The sequence below is a fragment of the Homo sapiens genome, chromosome 10 (assembly GCF_000001405.40).
Source record: "Homo sapiens chromosome 10, GRCh38.p14 Primary Assembly".
Taxonomy (NCBI): domain Eukaryota; kingdom Metazoa; phylum Chordata; class Mammalia; order Primates; family Hominidae; genus Homo; species Homo sapiens.
The window spans coordinates 131,840,936-131,860,212 of record NC_000010.11 but is presented as its reverse complement, the minus strand read 5'-3'; the positions used below and the strand labels follow the sequence as shown (position 1 = coordinate 131,860,212).

General features: G+C 56.9%; 2 annotated features.

Moving 5' to 3' along the window:
- Window positions 17,843-18,459: an enhancer, noted in NCBI's record as "H3K4me1 hESC enhancer chr10:133674090-133674706 (GRCh37/hg19 assembly coordinates)". NCBI's record gives its function as "activates a minimal SCP1, AML or CMV promoter by ChIP-STARR-seq in naive H9 embryonic stem cells {active_cell/tissue: H9 hESC(naive)}" and the evidence as "EXISTENCE:reporter gene assay evidence [ECO:0000049][PMID:30033119]".
- Window positions 18,460-19,077: an enhancer, noted in NCBI's record as "H3K4me1 hESC enhancer chr10:133673472-133674089 (GRCh37/hg19 assembly coordinates)". NCBI's record gives its function as "activates a minimal SCP1, AML or CMV promoter by ChIP-STARR-seq in naive H9 embryonic stem cells {active_cell/tissue: H9 hESC(naive)}" and the evidence as "EXISTENCE:reporter gene assay evidence [ECO:0000049][PMID:30033119]".

The following is a 19,277-nucleotide window of genomic DNA, read 5'->3' as shown; positions in this document are numbered from 1 at the left end:
CCCTTCGATTATTTGCTTCTGGTACATTTTGCAACATTTAAACAAAAATTTTAAACAAAAAGTGAATATCTCTTATATTAAAGCGTTCTGACACCATGATAAAAAGACATCAATAGTAAAGCAGAGAATATGGAAAGGCATCCCACGGAACAGGAGACACAAATGGCTGGTGAAGAGAACAAAACAGGCTCCTGCTCCCAGCAGTCAGGACGTAGCTGTGGTGTGGAGGCTGCAAGTCAAGCCCAGCAAAGGTGACTGGGTGTCTAGGGACCAGGTTCCTATGCAGGTAAAGATGGCCAGTATTCAGTGGCTGGGGATCCCCAGACCAAAGCAATTTGTCAGCTCCATGGGAGTCGTGCAGGTGTGACTGGCTATCAGACTGCTGTGGAACGAGGCGACTGTATCAAGGTCCCCAGGCTCTAGTTACTTTAGGAGACAGCCTGGTGGCCAAAGAGAACTGGTTCTGTCCACCAGGTCACTGGGAGGGTCCTGGGCCCAGAAAAAGGCTTGTTCATGAAACTGCTTTCCAAGACAGTCACACTGGGAAAAAAATGTCTCTAAAATTCTGGTTCTTGAGCCATTTCATGAGGAGCTGAAGTCCTAAAAAAGGGATGGAGTTTGCAGTGACTCGTTGCAGTGACTCATTGCAGTGCCTCGTTGCTGTGACTTGTGAGGCTGAGTGGGCATCGCTACCTGCATACCTCTCCCCAGACTCCGTCAACCACCTAGGCTGAAAGCTGTTCTGATGGGAAGATTCCATCCCAAGCCCCTGGTGCCCTCCCCACTGGAGGATTTTTAGCGAGATGAGAGGCTGAGCCAATTCTGGACCAGCCTGGACAGCATCCCTGTGGATGACCTGAGACATACTCAGCTGTCCCCACTGGCCGGTCCTGATTCATCCCCAAGACTCTGAGGAAGAAACTCTGCACAGCTGACTGCTGCTTCATGTCCTCCCTCAAAACTACGTTTTTGGTGTTGCCACCCTCCTCCTGGCCATGTGGGTCTCCCACGTTCTCTGCTGCCGTCCAGCAGGTGACCCTGGGAGGGCTTCAGTTTCCCTTCCAGTGCGGTGGAGTCGCCTTAGCCTGATCTTTGCAGGGACCCCATGGCCCCACCCTTTGCCCTGCCTGCAGAGGGCGCCGGCCGAAGGGCCCGAGCACCTTTAAAGCCTGCCCTGAGAAACACCCGCCTCGACCGCTGTGGCTTGACACGCCTGGCTCACACAGCGTGAAACGGAGGCCTTTGGCCTACTTTAAAGAAAAGGGTGGATGTTTGGGGAAGAAAATGAGGTTTCCTGAAGTCTCCAGCCCCAGTCTCGATGCCGGAAACCTGCTCGTGTTTCAGTATCCGATGCCCCGCCCTCCTGGGCACCACTGCCCTGCTCTGCGATGAGCAAACAGTTGGTGCCTTCTGTGTGCAGCCAGGATTTCTCTTTCACCCTCCTCCCGACCGGCTGCCGGCAATGGCGCTTTGGCCCCACTGCTGAGGGGCCGCACTGCCGAGGGGCCGTCGAACCTGTATGGATCTAAGACCCATCACGCCTCCCGCCGTCACTCAGGGGTTGCGGCATCATGACCACACGCTTCAGAAACATTCTCTCTAAAAATTTGCCCCACATCTCTCCTGCTCAGCATTCCTTGGACTTGAACAGCTATCAGGAAGGTCCCTGTTCCCCCTACTCCACCCACTCACCATGCATTTGATTCTCTGAAGTCACTCCAGGCCCTTGGGGAGGAAATGGGGCGCAGTATTGTCTCATCCTGAAACCGGCTTAGAGCCTCCTGATGGGTTTGCAGCAGGGCCAAATCTGTTGAGACAGCTTCCTCCCACTCCGTGGCTCCATCCGTCAACACCAGCATCCTTTGTCTGGGTGTGAATGAGAGCCGGGAACGTTGGTCCTCGCTCCTGTTCTCGGGTGGCACGGTGGCGGCTGAGGCTGGCCTCCTGTCCCAGGCTTTAGAGATCGTGGTGCTGGCTTTGGAGTGGGCTGTGGCTGAAGGCTGTGCTGCCCCTGCCTGAGGACCAGATGGGGATGGGACCTCCACAGTCACTCCCCTGGGTGCTGCCAACCAACTCAGCATGGCCTCATGAGGACTCAGGGTCCTGTCCCCGCCCCCCCGCCCCTTGCCCTGTGGCCCTGGGCAGCCGCCTCAGTCAGAGGCAGGCTCTGAACCACTGCACGCTGACAATGAACTATACTAAGAGACCTGTTCGGGATGGGGGTGCCCAGGGCCGCCCCGGATGAGTCTCCGGTTTACGCATCTGCATGGACTTCTCAGAAAAGGCCATGGCTTCACCCCTCAGCACCCCCGACTCATGTGCCCTGCAGGTCCACGGCCTCAGTTTGACTTGCTTCTTCTGGCCATGCTGGGTCCATATCCTGCCCCAGGCGTGCACCCAGGCTTCTCCTCCATCTCTTCCTCCACACCAGACTGGAGAGTACCACTGGAGTTGGCAGAATCATGTCCCCAAGGATGCTGCTGTCCCACTACAGGACCTATAGATATGCTAGGCTATGGGGGGCCATGGGGGGTGCCGTGAGGGGCTCAATATGCTCATCAGCTGACCTTACCCGACGGGGAGGAGCGTGGAGAAGCCGAGGGGCTCAGAGCCAGGGAGGGCAATGTGAGGGCTGGGCTGGATGCTGCTGGCTCTGAGGACGGAGGCAGCTTCCTTCTAGAAGCTGGAAGGGGCGAGAGAAGGGATTCTCCCCTGGATCCTCTAGAAGGAACCAGCCCTGCCAGCACCTGGACTTTAGCCCAGAGAGCCCTGTTTCACTCCGTACGGACCCCTGGGGTGTGAAGAAAGATGCCTGTGCTGCTGTGAGCCACCAAAGTACGTGGCGGTTAGTTCCAGTGCCACAGGAAACGCGCATCGGCACCACCAAACAAAACACCAGGGCTGTGCCCGGCGCCCAAGGCCAGGTGAGATCCACTGTCTCCCTGGCTGGGCCTGGCCGCACCTGGGGCCGCTGCACTCCTGCTGCCCATCTCCACGTGTTCTGCTGGCTTCTCTCTCCCTGTGGCTGCCCGAGGCATTGATCTGAGCTCACGCCTGCCCTGACGGGTTTCTGGCTCACAGACCTCTACTGGCCAATCTCCACTGGCCTCTCTAAGTTCTGAGGCGTCTCTGGAGTGTCTTCCGCCTGCTTGCCTCTGGGAATCTGAGCTTTTCCTTCTGGATTCTTCTGCCATGGAGCTTACTCTGGGGCCACCATAGCTGTGCTCTGCCTACCCCACCAGTATTGGGGCTGTGAGTGTGGTTTAAGGGTCATTAACTGAACAATACGCAGCATGGGCCCCCACCCAGGCCATCTCCACGCAGCTGCCCGCGGGGCAGAGTTCAGGTCACTCCGGGGCTCAACACCCTCCTGAGGCTCCCATCTCAGACTCGGCCTAAAGCCAAAGCTTTGAAGGCCCACAGGGCCCTGCCCAGCCTCCCCCGCCCACCCCGCTCCTCTGATTGATTTCCCTCCCCTCTCTGCTCCCTCCTCCCCCAGGCTGGCTGCCCAGCCTTCTGTAGCCTGCACGTTGTAGGGCCCCAGGGCCTTCGCACCTGCTCCCTGCCTGGAAAGTCCCTGGGGTTCTGGAGGCTGTTCCTCACACTCCCGGGAAGCCTTTGCTCCTTTCCCTCCTCAGGAGGCACCACCCCGACCTGGGCACAGCTGTGACCATGGGCCCTCCTGCTCCAGCCTGTGAGGGCGACACCTCGCCCGCTCCTGACTTTCCAGGGCAGGAATGTTGGGGGTCGGTGACATTCAGAGTGTCCCTCTGGGGTTACAGACACCCAAAGATGTGCCCAAAGACACTGCCAGTCACACGCTCCGCCAGGGTGGGCACAGCCGGTCACAGCTCTTGATTTCCCCGGTGGAGATGCCCGCACCTGCATTTCCAGGGGGTCCAGCCTCACCCTCCTGGGCTCTACCCCACCACCGATTCCACCCACCTGTGCTGTTCGCTGTTGGCTTCTGCCCCAGAGCACCAGGGGCACCGCTGGCTCCTGCCGCTGCAGCTTCTGTGCTTCTGGGAGGCGTGGCTGTGGGAATGGGCTTTCAGCATGAAGGGTGCTTTGGTCTCTGTGCAGGGATGGGCACTGACAGGACAGGCCTCGGGGTCCTGGAGGGAGGAGCCACTCCCTGGGGACAGGCGGGCCATGGATGGGCCTGGTCCAGGGCATGGGCTCTGCCAAGGCCAGCGTCCGGAGGTGCTGGCTGTCCCAGAAATGCTGTGTCAGCCCTGAATGGGCCTCCGCTCGTCTTCCCCATAGCCCTGGGAAGGCAGACTTTTAAACTGGCCCCCAGGTGCCCGTCCTTGCAGGGCACACACCTTCCCCCTGTCATCCAATCACCACAGTCCAGAGGCTGCTGGGGAGGGATTCTGCAGGTGTAATGAGGGCCCTTGCTCAGTGAACCTTCAATGGGGGCATGTGCTGGGCCCTGAGCTGGTCAGGTGAGTCCTTAATGGGGCCTTGAAATTCTGGGCAGCTGGGGTTCAAAATGGGAGGGATCTGGCCCGGGAGGATTCCTCTGGGGCTGGGCTGGGTGACTCTGAAGATAGAGGAGACACGCTGACCTGGGTGTGGGCCTGGCTGACAGCCAGCAAGCAAGCAGTGACCCCAGTCTTGCAGCCACACGGCAGTGGACTCTGCCAGCACCCTGAGGCCAGCACAGGAGAACTCTGCCCGGCCCACACCTTGACCTCAGCCCTCGGCACTGGGAGCACGGTGCTTGGACACTTCCCACCCTCAGAACCAGTGAAGGGATAAATACTATTCTAGCTTTGAAGTTGGAGATGGCGTGTTTCCCAGTGGTGGATGGCAAATGCACCCCTGGGTGCTGGGGTCCACATGCCTGCCACATGGCCTGCTTGTCCTTTTCAGCCTCAGAACATGAAGGATTTTGGTGGCCGTCTTGTGTGTGTGTGGCACACACAGGGTAGTAGCCTCCTACAGTGACTTACAGGCAGCTCAGCTCCTTGGGGACACTGAAGACTGTCCCTCGGCCACCTCCCTGGAGTGGGCACAGCTCAGAGGCTTCCAGCTCCCAGCCCCACCTGCCCCCAGGCGTGTGACTGTCGCCTCCTGCCGGCTGGAACCCCTCGTCACTGTTCTCCCTGGCAGCAGCCAAATGACCTCTTGGACATTCTTTGTTTTCCCAGAAGGAAGCCTCACTTGGTAGGTGTGTCGGAGGGAAGGACAGAGAGAGGCTGGGGGTGCGGGGGAGATGTGCTGGACCCCCAACAAGTGATGTCAGAGAGAGGGTGGGTGTGTGGGGGAGATGTGCTGGACCCTCATGGTGTGGACAGAGAGAGGCTGGGGGTGTGCAGGACCCTCGTGGTGTGGACAGAGAGAGGCTCCGGAGTTGGGGAGATGCTGCAGGCTCCCGCGGGTGTGGCGTGAGGTCCTCGTGGTCTCTGCTGGCGTCTCACTCAGCCAGTCACGAGGAGCCACGAGTGTCCTCAGCTCCTCTCCAGGGTGTCCTGAAACTGGACCCGGCTTCACGCAGAGGTTTCTGCTGCGTCTCACCTGAGGGCCTGGACGGGTGCTCGGGGTCCCAGGTAGTTCCTGGAGGGGCCCTGTTGGAACCCTTGCCCCATAACCCAATACTTGGGCCTAGCTGTGGCCTTCCTGGGGGGCCGTGAGTTTTAAATGCGATGTTTCTGTGATTGGATTACTGTGGTATCTTGAAGACTGGGTGAAAGCAGATAAAACTCTACCTTCCCGCCTTCCTAAAACAACCAGTCGGTTTTCATATGCCATTTGAATAGATTTGTGATGAAGGTATAGATACAACTCTGTATCCGACTTCTTCCTGTGGAATGAGACCACCACTTCTCCTGTTGTCCTTCCCAGCTTCTCCCCCACCTCCGCTTTTCCCTCGTTTAGAAGACAGGAGAGAAGGGAGAAGGCAGAAGGGTGAAAAGAAACAGAAGTAAGATAAATAGCTGGACGGCCCTGGCGCCTCCGCCTGGCCGTGGTGGTTAAAATAATAACAATAATAATAATAATAACAACCCCTGACCAAAACTACTGGTGTTATCTGTAAGTTCCAGACATTGTATGAGAAAGCACGGTAAAACTTTTTGTTCTGTGAGCTGATGTATGTAGCCCCCAGTCACGTTCCTCACGCCTACTTGATCTATCACGACCTTTTCACGTGGACCCCTTAGAGTTTTAAGCCCTTAAAAGGGCTAGGAGTTTCTTTTTCGGGGAGCTCGGCTCTTAAGACGTGAGTCTGCCGACATTACCGGCCGAATAAAAACCTCTTCCTTCTTTAATCTGGTGTACGAGGAGTTTTGTCTGCGACTTGTCCTGCTACACCTGTATTTAAAAAATACTTACGTGTCACCATTTTTAACAACAGCTTACTCCTCACCCCCGACGGGCGGGCACTCGAGTCCCCGGTTGTCCCCAGATCATTGCGCACCCACGTAGGGGACTCTGTTTATGCATAAAGTGCTGTGGGTATTTAGCGTCAGCTCTTTACCTTTCATTCCCAGGAGTGCACGGACTGGGCCAGTGGGTCCTGTTACCTGTTTCTGAAATCCTGCTTGAATGGAAAACTCACATTTACCTTAGTGCCAGGTCCCCTGGAGAGGAAGGTGGGACCAGGGACTCAGGAGAAATGGAGGGAGAGGGGTCACCGGGGACCTGGGGAGACCCCGTCACCCTGCTCACGGGAGAGGGGTCACCGGGGACCTGGGGAGACCCCGTCACCCTGCTCACGGGACAGGGGTCACCGGGGACCTGGGGAGACCCTCCCATCCTGCTGACAGTGTCTGTTCTTGGACAGGGGTGGGAGGGACAGGACATGATCGTGGTGAGTGAGCTCACTGGAGGGCTGCTGCTGTGGGGAGGCCACGGGAGCCAGGGCCACGGCCTCTGCAGCCACCGCCTGGGTCTCCACCTGCCTCAGCCTCTTGGGGTCTGGGGTGGGTGGGGGACCCTGGGGGTTTGAGGTGCAGATGAGGGAAGGGGGCTCCCCGGGCCTTTGGGCCCACGGGCTGGGCAGCTCCTTTGCTGGCTGTGGAAACAGAGGTGCCTTTCACTCCGTGGGCGACAGAGGGCCCTGTCCCAACGCAAATGGCAGGCGGGCCCCGTGCCTCCCCTGTGTTGGGAGTTCCACGGGCAGAGGCAGAGCAGGGTGGGCTTCTGTTCCAGAACAGTCTTCGGGAGGGGGTGGTGATGGTCCTGGGGTCCTCCCGCACTTTGGGAGTGGTGTGCTGCAGGCCACCTTTGGGAAGGCTGGGGTGGCACTTGTGAGTGACAGGAAGGGCAGAAGTGTCAGAGCAACTTTTCTCGGCTTTCCCGAGGACCAGGCTGGGCAGCTGCAAGGTCTCCCTGGAGGGCACAGGGGTGATTACCAGCCTGGCGTCGGGGTCCTAAGGGGTGGTGGCACCTCATGGTGGGACACTGTCTGAAAGATGTAAATTGAACACTGTCTTGGACATAGCTTTTGGGTGCAAGAGTCATACATTATACTTCTCAAAAAAAAAAATCAGAAAACCGTCAAGGGGGCAGTAAAGTTCACCCAGGAGTTCACCCTGGAGATAAGCACCCCTGCTCTCGTGACGCACATCCTTCCAGATTCAGAAAAACTGACACAAAGGATCACACGGTAATACTCTTGGATAAGGCTTGGCCCACGTAGCAGTATGTTGTGCACATTAAACAAATCAGCAAACACAGATTTGCATAACCGCTTTTAACGGCTGCTCTTCACAGCACGCACGAGCGGCGCTGGTGTCGCATTAAATACTCCTCTCCGGCGGCCTGAGACCCAGAGCGCTGGGGAACCTCGTGCGTGCGGGAGCATGAGTGGATATTTAGATCGTCCCTGGCGATCCGTCGTGGAGAGTGAGCTCATCGCCGTTGTTCGAGTGCCTGTTTGTGCACCTCTCGGAGCACTTCCCGAGGATACATTTCTGGGAGTGGCGTGTGGGACGGAGCGGGCTGCATTTGAAGGACATTTGTTGGGGTTTGGATGCACCTCTCACCATGTATCTGCAGTGGGCTCTGTTGCTGGCTTCAAAGACGCCGGCCACGAGAGACACAGGCTGTGCGGGTGCTCGGTGGGAATGGGGTCTCCTCATCTTCTGTACCATCAATGGCCCCAGACATTAAACAGGGACAAAGCAACGATATGCCTGGTGCTGAGTAGAGACAGTCAATCCTGAGAAAGAGCTGCCCTTGGGAGGCCGAGCGTCTGATGGGGAGGGATAGAGAAAGGAAGGCTTGTTGAATGGATTGCGAAGCATCCTAACCTCCTCTGGACATGAATGTTTCTGGAATCCTCTTATGAATGACAAGTGCATATAGGATCGTGATTATTCCGGGGCAGACCCTCTCCCTGTCCCCAGCTGCTATGAAATCAATGGGGTTACTTTTGTGCTTGGACATTTAGGCTGCTTTAAAAAAATTAATGGACAACACTGTAGTGGCCATCCTTATACATATGTCTTTGTGAGCATTCACTCTACTTTTTAAACTTAATTTTTATTTTGATGTTAAAACATGACAAGTGTTTAGTTGGAAAAGTTACAAAGTACTGTAAGGCAACAAATAGCATCCACACTCCCATCCTCAGGCCTGGCCCCTTTTCCCGGAGAGAAACCCTTCGGGTTCTTTCAGCGGCATCATCTGGGTCTTTGCTCAGTTTTCATTTAACCGAGGCATTCCTTCCTGAGGTCTCTGGCCGACAGCGCCAACCTGGCTTTTGCTCACAGATATGCTATCGTCTTGGGATTTTCCCACGCCATCTCGCATTTTCCCGTGTCCTGTGTTGGGCCCCTTTTCCCGGATCCCATGTCTTTCTTTCTTTCTTTTTTTTTTTGGCTTTACTTTTTTGTTTTGATGGAGCATATTTTCCACTAGCTTCCTGTGAAAAGATTTGTGGCAGGTGGAAAGGTGTGCAGCAGGTGGAAAGATTTGTGGTAGGTGGAAAGGTGTGTGTAGGTTGAAAGGTATGTTCGGGTGGAAAGGTGTGTGTAGGTGGAAAGGTGTGTGCGGGTGGAAAGGTGTGTGCGGGTGGAAAGGTGTGTGCGGGTGGAAAGGTGTGTGTGGGTGGAAAGGTGTGTGCGGGTGGAAAGGTGTGTGTATGTGGAAAGGTATGTGTAGGTGGAAAGGTGTGTGCAGGTGGAAAGGTGTGTGTGGGTGGAAAGGTATGTGTAGGTGGAAAGGTGTGTGCAGGTGGAAAGGTGTGTGTGGGTGGAAAGGTGTTTGCGGGTGGAAAGGTGTGTGCGGGTGGAAAGGTGTTTGTGGGTGGAAAGGTGTGTGCGGGTGGAAAGGTGTGTGCGGGTGGAAAGGTGTGTGCGGGTGGAAAGGTGTGTGTGAGTGGAAAGGTGTGTGAGTGGAAAGGTGTGTGCGGGTGGAAAGGTGTGTGTGGGTGGAAAGGTGTGTGGCAGGTGACACAGTGGAGTCCTCCTATGTGTGAAATTGTCATCCCTTACCATCATGTCCAAGCAGTAGTTTGACTGAGTGTAGAATCTAGGCTTGAGATGATGTTGCACATTTTTTTTTTGTTGAGTCATTGGTTGAAAATTCTAGATTGACAATGAAGGTGAAGCTTCATTTTCCTATAGCTTCCACGGATGCTATTGAGAATGTGGATGTCATTCTGGTTCCAATGCCTTGTCATTCTCTGTGTGCATTTTCTTATTTGTGGAGGCTTCTCATTGGTTCTTGTTATTCTTGGAACAAGCCTGTTGGAGAAGGCGGCCCTGGGGTGGGAGGGTGGGCGCTGAGCCACAAGGGTTCTCCCTAGCGGGGCTTGGAGGAGCTCCGGGGCACTTGGGCCCCTGGAAGATGTGGTATTTCATTGTAAATGTCAGCACTTCGTTCCATCAAATCACGCGTGAGGGATGTGTCCTGGCAGGTACTTTGTTATGAAGGCACTGAGTCGGGTGAAGGCAACGTGTTTTCCTGTAACAAAGGCCTTGGGGGTCGGGGGGTGGCCAGGTCTGCCTCCTCCCGAGGTCCATCTGCATTAACTTTACGGGGTCGGGTGCGACTCACGCGCTCAAGGAGAATAGCTGCTCTGTCACGGAAGCCAGGCATCTACAGTCAAGCGCTCGTCTCTCTCTGTGATCTGGCCTTTCTGAGCCATCTCCGACCCACAGGCCTCTCGGTCCTCCAAGTAGGGTACTGCTTTTGACCAAGCCACGGGCTAAAGTCCTTCCCAAGGCCTCTCAGGAAGTGGCCTCCGGGGTGCCCAGGCAGCAGTTGCACTCTCAGCAGCTGACTGGAGCTTCTTGGGGGTCTTTAGAATTAGAGGAGGAGTAGGCAGTGGCATAGCCTCCCACAGCTCCTGGGCCCCTTTGTGCTGGGCGGCACCTGAGGGGCTACCTGCCTGCCACCCCCACCAGGGGTAACGCAGTAGGGCAGGCGTGAGCCGGCCTAGTCCTGGCCGGTTCTCATGAGCACCTGTTTAAGGGTGGCACACAAGCATCGGGCCCGGCCCGACACCCCAGGGTGCACAGCGAGGCCACTTCCTTTAGTTTTATTTCTTTTAATTTCTTTTCATTTTCAATGGTGAACTCAGGATATTTGGGTGATTATATTAACTCTTCCAGGAGTGTTGGTGGGAGGGGTAGAGATGGGACTGAGGTGGGTGGCAGAACCCGCAAGGGGCCGAGGGCCGCTCTTGAGGTGGGAGTGAGGGTGACCTGAGCCCTGGCCGTGGAGTCCCTGAGGCCACCTGGTCCAGAACCGCCCCAGCTCGGGACCTGAGGAGCTGCAAGGCTTGACCTTGGCTTTCTGCTGGAGCTGGAGTGAGTACGTGTCTCCTGGCTGCCAACTAGGAACCGCCGCCATCACCCCTGCACCCAGCCACCCTCAATGTAGCGCCCAGGGTCCTGGGTGTGGCGAGGCGGCTCCAACCCTGAGTGGCTTCGGCCGGCTCCGTGTCTCCGCACGGCTCTGGCTCTGGCTCCAGCAGTCGGATTTAGGGCCAGGTAACTTGATCCCATGAGATCGAGACCGGTCTGGGAAGGGGGACTTTCTCCCGCGTCCTCGGGGCCACCCAAGGGTGTCTGTCTGTGGGATCCACACGCAGCCTTGTTCATTCTAGAACAAGAGCAGCAGCTGCACCCTCCCCCTGGTTTTCTCAGGTGCCGGCGACACCTGCTTAATTGACCCCCCTGTGTGGTTTTGCACATTTGTGTGCAGCATGCACTTCTGAAAGCTGGGACTTGTGTTTTCTGCTTTAAATAGGCCTGGCTTCCAAAGCGGGCCCTGGACCTGCCAAGTCTCTGGCACCAGATGGGGAAGGGAAGCGCGGGCGGCCGTACACACAGGGATGCTTGGCGGCGCTGCCCGCTTCGTGAGGTCCTGGCACTTCTGCCAGAGGTGGGCCCTGCTGGAAGAGCCCACTGTGACCGCACAACTCCCCCAGGGGCCGAGAGACGGTAGCTTTTGTCTTCCTGTCACTTCAGCTTCGCTCCAGCCTCAGTCCAACGGAACAACCTTCCTTTGGTCCATGGTTCCCACCTGGGACCAGATGCTAGAAGTCAACTCCAGAGCTGGTTACCTGTGTGTGTCCCCCACACCTGAAGGAAGGCCGAGAGGAGGTTGCATCCATTTGACAGGCTGCCTGGTCCTCCTGAGAACATGCACGTGCAACTCAGTGGCTGACATCTCTTGTTCTGAGAGAGAGGCCTCGGCCTTTAAAGGGTGTGCCTCAAGTGCCTGGTCCTAGGAGACCTCAAGGGGAGGGGCCCGAGGCGGGCACCACACAGCACCTGTCCTGTCCCCGCCAGGCCCCAGGCAGCTCAGGGCTCCGCTTCCCGCCTCTGGAGCTGGGACTATGGACGCTTCAGTGGAGTTGTCCCCTGACCATGCATTGGCCAGATGGGGTGTGGGTGGCTCAGCGTCACCTTTGTCCAGTGACCAGTGGCTGGGCAGGCCTGGGTCGGGAGAATCAGTCGGAGCAGTGTCATCCTCATGGCGGCTGCAGCATCAGGTCTAGTTGTTAATTATCTGGTATTACTGAGTATTACCATTTTACCCCACTTAGGGTTTGTTAGAGTGGGAACAACATGGGTTATAAAATGTAGAAAATCCGTCTATTTTGTATGATTTAGAATTCCAACTCAATGACCAGCTTTGGTGTTTTCCTGCTTTGAGGAAACGACTTACCTGGTTAGAGTAGAAGTACCAAACAGACTTTCCTCCCTCCCCACTGTTGATTTCTGCTTGGAATTACTCAATTTTCATGATGCTGCCAAACATTTCCTGAGCGCATAGAGGGTGTGAGTGGAATAGTGGAATGCATCCTCTGATAGGATTAGGTAATGCATCACACTCGATGGATTGCAAATATTTAAGAACCAGGCAGTGTAGTTTTAAATCTCAGAATGAGGAGGAATGAGAAGAACTGATGTCTGTGTGCTGGGTGGGGGCCGAGGGGTGGGCAGGCAGGAGTAGCAGGCACTGCGTGTCACCCCTTGGTGTGTGTGGCCCCCACCAGCCTCGCCTGTGAGATGAAGGTGCAGAGGCTGAATGACTCCTGTCCCCTGCATGTGGCCTGGCTGGGTTGTTCACTCCAGGATGGCGAGGAGGCGGCCTCAGCGGCTCTGGCCATGTGGGGGATGCAGGAAGGACACAGCCTGTCCCTCCCTGGCCTCGGCCTTTGCCTGGCCCTTCCATGGTTCAGATGCTTCTCAAGCAGAGCAGCCTTTGAGGTCATTCACCCACACCTGCGGCGTTTTGCATTTTCCGTCCACACCCCTCACAGGCAGCGTGGCAGGCCCTGCGCTGTGGATTGACACGGAGCTGGCGTCCTGTACTGGTTACCCGGAGTCTGAGCTGAGACTGGCTTTCGTCTGGCGGCCCTGCTCATGAAGGTGGGGCTCTGCCATTTGTGGCTTAGCTGCTTTCCCCGGGAGTCGGAGGCTTAGGTTGCTGGAAGTAACCGGAAGCCACCCTTCAATGTGACGTCGTAACGGATCTTTGCGGCCAGAGGCGGAAGGGGCGCCCACTGGGCTGCTGGCGTTGTCTTCTGTCGTGACCTTTTACCTCTCAGCACCTTGCGCCCTCTCCTTGTCTGCTGTCATTTGGTGGCATTAACCAGATTTAAAAGTGCAACATTTGGGACCGTGCATGTAAAATCTTGATAGGAATGAGTTGGGTGCCGGCTGTGCCAGGAGCAGCCGTGGCCACCCTCCCTGCTGTCCTGGGGCTGGCGATGGGAAAGTGGCTGTGACTTTTCTGCCTGCTCTCGGGCCGGTGCACCAGGGGTCAGGCCGCAGCAGTGGAGCTGACCGTCACGTCTGGCGGGGAGCCCACTGGTCTGTTTCTCCTTTTTCCCACCCCTGCCCGGGCTGCCTGACCCTCTTCACCCTTTCACAGGCCATAGTCATTGCTGGGCCCTCCCCTCCCCAGCTCTCAACTCCTGACTGATCTGCCTGATCCTGGCCAGCTCACACCAGAGTCCCAGCCCAGACCCGGCTCAGAGTGTCACCTGAGGAGCAGGTGTGTGGGCGGTGTCCCCCGTGATGGGCAGCTAGCCAAGCTCTGGGCCGCCTGTGCTCCCCGGTCCCTTCCCTTCCCCTCTTATCCCCAGGAGGACATCAGGTGGACGTGGTGGGTGGGGTTGAGTGCACAGCTGGGATGGGCTGCCTGCACAGTCGGGCCTGGCGGAGCCAGTCTGGTGTGGACACCACTCGAGGGAAACTAAAAATACAGGTCTTCTTTGACCCAGTAACTCCACTGGGAGTCTTCATTCTACGAGGAAACCCCAAGGGAGCAGAAGGAACAGAAACTTGTGTCCTAGGAGGCTGCCTGGGACTTCGTTCCTGGAGCAAAGCCCTGGGAGGGAGCAGAGGATGGTGGACACGGAGGGCTGGCCACATGGGTGGGGCACGGGGAGGAGTGGGTTAGGAGAAAGAGCAACTCTCAGAAAAACGTGCAGATCACGTTCTTACGTTCATAGGACAAGCCAGGAGGAAAATCCTTTCCAAATGTGTATTTGCCTGAAGAGACGTGCATTTATGTGTGTATGAATGTGAGAAATTCATGTGCCACTGTTAACGCGGGTCACCTGGGGCAGGTGAGAGCTGATTGGTGGAGGGACAGGCAGCCAAGACGGAGGGAGGAGGTTGGTGAAACCTGGAAAGAGGAAAGCCTGGGCCTGCAGTGAGGTTTGTATGATGCAATTTTGCTGACGTGTACATCTGCAGATGTAAAGACATTAAAAATCTCATGTCACCATTAGACTTTACGTCTGGTCCATGGAGGGTAAACCCAAGGCCTGCGTCTGGCTCAGGCGAGGCCGACTCTGCTTCTCCCTTGGGCCTGGGGAATGCCTGGTCTCCCCCAGCGCTGTGTCTCCCAGCTGCTGACAGCAGCCCCAGGAGTTTCCATCCCATTGTGGTTTCTGGCTGGGACCCTGTCACCATGGTCACCATGGCCGCTCCCAAGCTGAGGAGAAGGCTTCTGACCTGATGGGAGGGAGCCAGGGAGGAGGCCTGCGGAGCTGCTCTTGGATGCTCTCAGAGGCCACGGGGAGGGTGGCGGGATGTGCCCAGTGATGAAGGTCTTGCCCAGGACGAGGCCTGCGGAGCTGCTCGCGGACGCTCTCAGAGGCCACGGGGAGGGTGGCGGGATGTGCCCGGGTGATGAGGGTCTTGCCCAAGACGTTGGAGGCGGAGGGTAGAATTCTGCTGTGGCCCACCCAGGCTTCCCTGGCGCGCTGCTTTCCAAAGAATGGCACCAAGGAACGAGGCTGAGAGACCGAGAATCGGCTTCTGTTACCGGATGCTTAAATGAAAACTTATGAAATAATCAGCTACACAACATAAAACCAAACATCTCCCATTTACTAGTAATTAAATGCTTAAACATTTAAATTATCCATATCTTATGTTTATCAACTTGCCAGTAGCCTTAAGGCTATAAAAACATGAGTTTCTCAAGCTTCCCAGATGTTTCATAGCTTGAGATGGTAAATCTCAAGTTATCAATTAAACCTCTCTCACAGCGGATTGGCACAACAAGTGGAGACATTCATTCCAGCAACAAAACCCGATCACGGCAAGATTTCCATTATTAAGAAAGTAAATCTCCTTCTTTGAGAATAAAGACATAAATACCATATTTTTTTGCTGGAGAAGTGATGTGGGAAGATGGCCTCCAGAGACTGTCTGTCAAACATCCTTGAAGAAACATGTCTTGCTGTGCTTATTGCAGCAAACATTCTCTACATTGAATGCCGACGGAAGGTCTGCTCTGCTAAACGCTGCACACATCACCCGCTTCTCCGAGCCGCTCGAAGTCGTAGCTTTTAGGAGCAGACGGGGCTCATCAATATCAGGCTGCCCAAGGCTTCTCCAGGACAGCAGGGTAAGCAGGAGTCCCGAGAAACCCCTGAGGAGGCCGCATTGTCGTCAGCAGCCTGTGAACGAATCTGAATTCAGAACAGCCGACGGCTGACATGGCGAAGCAGGGCCAACACCTGCCCATCTTAGCCAGGGTGGGAATGAGTGAATCCGAATTCAGAGCAGCCGACGGCTGACATGGCAAAGCAGGGCCACCACCTGCCCATCTTAGCCAGGGTGGGAAGAGGGGTGGTAGCTTCTGTAAGTGCCATTAACTCCCCTCTTTCGAGTAGGGAAGAAGGAAGCTGTGGAGTGGTTGGCTTGCCCTAGGAAAGTGTGTCCTCATTAGCACAGGGAAACGAAACACGTGTGTTGAGATTACTTCTCTGGTCTTCTCTCTCTTGCCCAAAGCTTTGGCTCTCTTGTGTAGAATGGAAAAATGAAACCATTGCGGTCACTGGCAGCATTTCACTTATGACTGCTGTGTAACAAATCACCCCAGAACCGAGCAGTCAGTTTATGGAGCTTTCTGGTTCAGAAGGTCAGAAACTTGCTGAGGGTGCAGTGGGGGTGGCTTGTCTACTCCAGCATGTTCTGGAACCTGTACTGGGAAGACTTGGGGCTCAGGACTGCTGGCGGGGTGTCCACACACGGCTTCTCCGGGTGGCGTGGCCTCCTCACTGCATGGCGGCCTCGGTGGGGGCGGACTCGCACCTGGCAGCTCATGCATGAGAGTTACCAGCAACACAGAAGCAACGTCATCTCATACAACCCAGCCTCAGAAGTCACCGTGTGGCCCCTCAGCTACCCAAATATGCACACCTTTCTTCTGTGGCTGATACCTGTGTGGACCTACCTGGGGAGGGACCGTCTCATAAACGCAGTCCCAGCCTCCAGCGACTGTGCTGCCCACTGAGGGCCCTGAAATCCCGGCCTCTAGCGACTGTGCCGTCCCCAGGGGTCCTGCTCTCAAGTGTTCTCCTGCCAACATGGACCTTTCTCTCTCTGGAGCTGGGGGTTTTATGAGTGGGGAGGCAGCATGGGGTAGACGGTGGGGGGTTCAAATGCCAGGGTCAGCCCTAGATTTACACCCGGGACCATTTTGTAGCCTATCTGGGTGGAGTCAGTGGACTCCAGTCAGTGGACTGATTGGTGAACTGGGAAAGGTGACTTCAGAGGGGTTTAGTGAGAGAATGTGCAGAGCCCTCACTGGTGTCTCGTTCAATATGCACCCACAGCAGTGGCTAATTACTGGGGACAGTGCATGCCGCAAAGCCGTGAGTTTGACATGTCTAGATTTCATGTATCTAAAGTGTCTCCCAGGAAGGAGTCACATGCTCAGGTAGAGGTTCTTCCTGCCCAGGCTAACAGAGAAGACACACCAGGAATGGGCTGAAGGGGTGTGCATACAGGACAGAGTTCAGGGACATGGTTGAAGTTGCTAGCTCTGACTTTGCAGGGGCTGCAGCTGGTTGGAAGAAAGGCGGCTGAATGCGTCCTGGTTGGACATCAGTTCTGTGGGCAGCGGAAAACATGTTTGCAAAGCCCGAGTGATTACATGGGCTGGAGCCACAGAGTGTTGGGTGTAGGGGATGGATGAGCCTGTGCCAACTCTGTGTCTGGGTGCCACCCTCGCCCGCCAGACCTGTCCCCACTCAAGCCCTCTGGGCAGCTGTCAGAACCTGGGTTGCTGTGGATGTGAGCTGCGGCCCCTGGCTGGCTGTGACCTGTGGTGTGGCCTGGCACCAAAGAGTGGCCCAGGCCCCTTGGTTTCTGGCCTTGGGGATGGCCAGGGGCAGCTATAAGGCCGAGAGATGCCCTGAGCGGGGGGCTGTGCTGACCCCACACCTAGGATGGCATCTGGTCTCTTTATAGTGAGGTTGAGGATCCACGAGTGAGGTCTGAGCTCCCTGCCCTGCTGGCCATAGGTCCGGTGAGCTGGGTCCCCAGGCTGTCGATGGCAGAGGTCGCCATGGGTGGGGTTGGGGAGGAGGTGGGGAGACAGGAGAACGAGGGTGCAAAGCCAGAGGGAGGGGGTGCAGCCAGGAAGGGCCCAGGCCTCAAGGAGCTCCCGGTTGGCTGCAGATGCCCCAGGTGAGCATACACCACGGAAGTCACAACCAGGAAGATGTTAAACGGGCTCCATGCCAAACATCCTGAGGGCTGGGCTTGTCCACAGGGCCGGGGCGCTTTCTGTGCAGGACAGTGTGTTGAGAAGCCTGCCCACGGCCAGAGAGTGCACTGCACCCTGGAGCCTGGTCCCCACCTTTCTGGTGCTTGAGAGCCCAGGGACTCAGCTTTGGGCAGGGACCCCTTGGACCTGACACGCCAGGCCCAACACTGAGGTCACAGGCTGACCTTTTCTGGACCCCCATAGTGGGAAACCCTGGGATCCATCCAGGTGGCTGCTGTCCCTGTGGGGCAGGGACTGGAACCCCAACCTGGGGAGGTGGGTGAGGGTCAGGACAGAGTGGCATCATCTTCTCTCTGGAGAAGGGGCACTCCCTCGCCACCTACAGGGGAAGGACTGGGCCTGTGGCCTGGAGGCCTTCTCCACGCATGACTGCTCTGTCTCTGTGGGTCTCAAGTTTGAGCCTGCGTGGCCCTCTACAGCCCTCTCTGGCCCTCTCTGGCCCTCTACAGCCCTCTACAGCCCTCTCCGGCCCTCTGTGGCCCTCTGCGGCCTTCTGTGGCCCTCTGTGGCCCTCTGTGGCCCTCTGCGGCCCTCTCCGGCCCTCTCCTGCCCTCTCCGGCCCTCTGTGGCCATCTCCGGCCCTCTCCTGCCCTCTCCGGCCCTCTGCGGCCCTCTCCTGCCCTCTCTGGCCATCTCCGGCCCTCTCCGGCCATCTCCGGCCCTCTCCTGCCCTCTCCGGCCCTCTGTGGCCATCTCCGGCCCTCTCCGGCCATCTCTGGCTCCATCTCAAAGGGCACGAGACTGGGGGCATTGTGTCCACCGAGCGCTCACACACGTCTCCCTCTAGGCCACATTCCAGGCACCTGGCACCCCAGGAGGCCCTGCACGGTGGGCCACGCCCCTTTCAGGGCCTGCATGGAGCTCCCCAGAGTCTGTCCTCCCAGGGAGGGAGGTGTCTCAGCACCGGTGCACACATGGCTGAGGGTGGCCGCGGGGCTGTCATGCAGGGACATGCACAGGAGTCCTTCCAGGTGAGTGGGGCCAGGGAGGAAGGCGGGGGCTGGCTGTGGGCAGTGCCCCTCAGGCTGCCACACCAAGGCAGGAAGCTGGACTTGAGCCTGGCCTTCCCTGTGCTGTGCAGGCTGTGTCGGGGTGGAGGGACGGCTGTATTTCATTGTTCCTGAGCTCGATGGCCGTCTCTCAATGTCGACACTGCATTCTCGCCCAGGACCCACGGAGCTCAAGGCTGGCCAGCCTCCCCAGCTCCCCTTCAACTCACGGAAGCCTGATCTGCATCATGTGCCACAGGAGGTGACAGCAGAGGGGAGGGGGAAGCAGGGCTGCGGGACTGCCTGCCAGGCAGCTCAGGACTTCCTCGTGTTTCCTGAGATGCCTCTGTGGCCTCATGCTTATTGGTGGCGGGAGTCAGGCTGGGCTGCAATTCCGTATCCTCTCCTTCTCCATTTAGTCCCGAGAGCTATCTGCACATCACAGGTGCTGCCCCTACACCCGGAGGGCACCAACGAGGCCTCTGCAGTGTGAGGCATTTCCCACGCCCCACGCGGGGTGTGCGGTGAGGCCCTGGGAAAGGGGCTTCTTCTCTGGGCTCAGCTGCCCCACAGTGAAGGCCAAGCCTCTTTGCTTGCCTGGGACAGCCCCACACCCCTGTGGACATCTGGAGTGTGTATGTGTGCTTATATGTGTGTCGTGTATGTGTGTCTGTGTATGTGTGTTTCTGCGTGTGTTTGCATGTGTGTGGTATGTGTGTTGTGTATGTGTGTTGTGTGGTGTGGGTGTGTGTGTTGTCTGTATTTGTGTTTGTGTGCATGTGT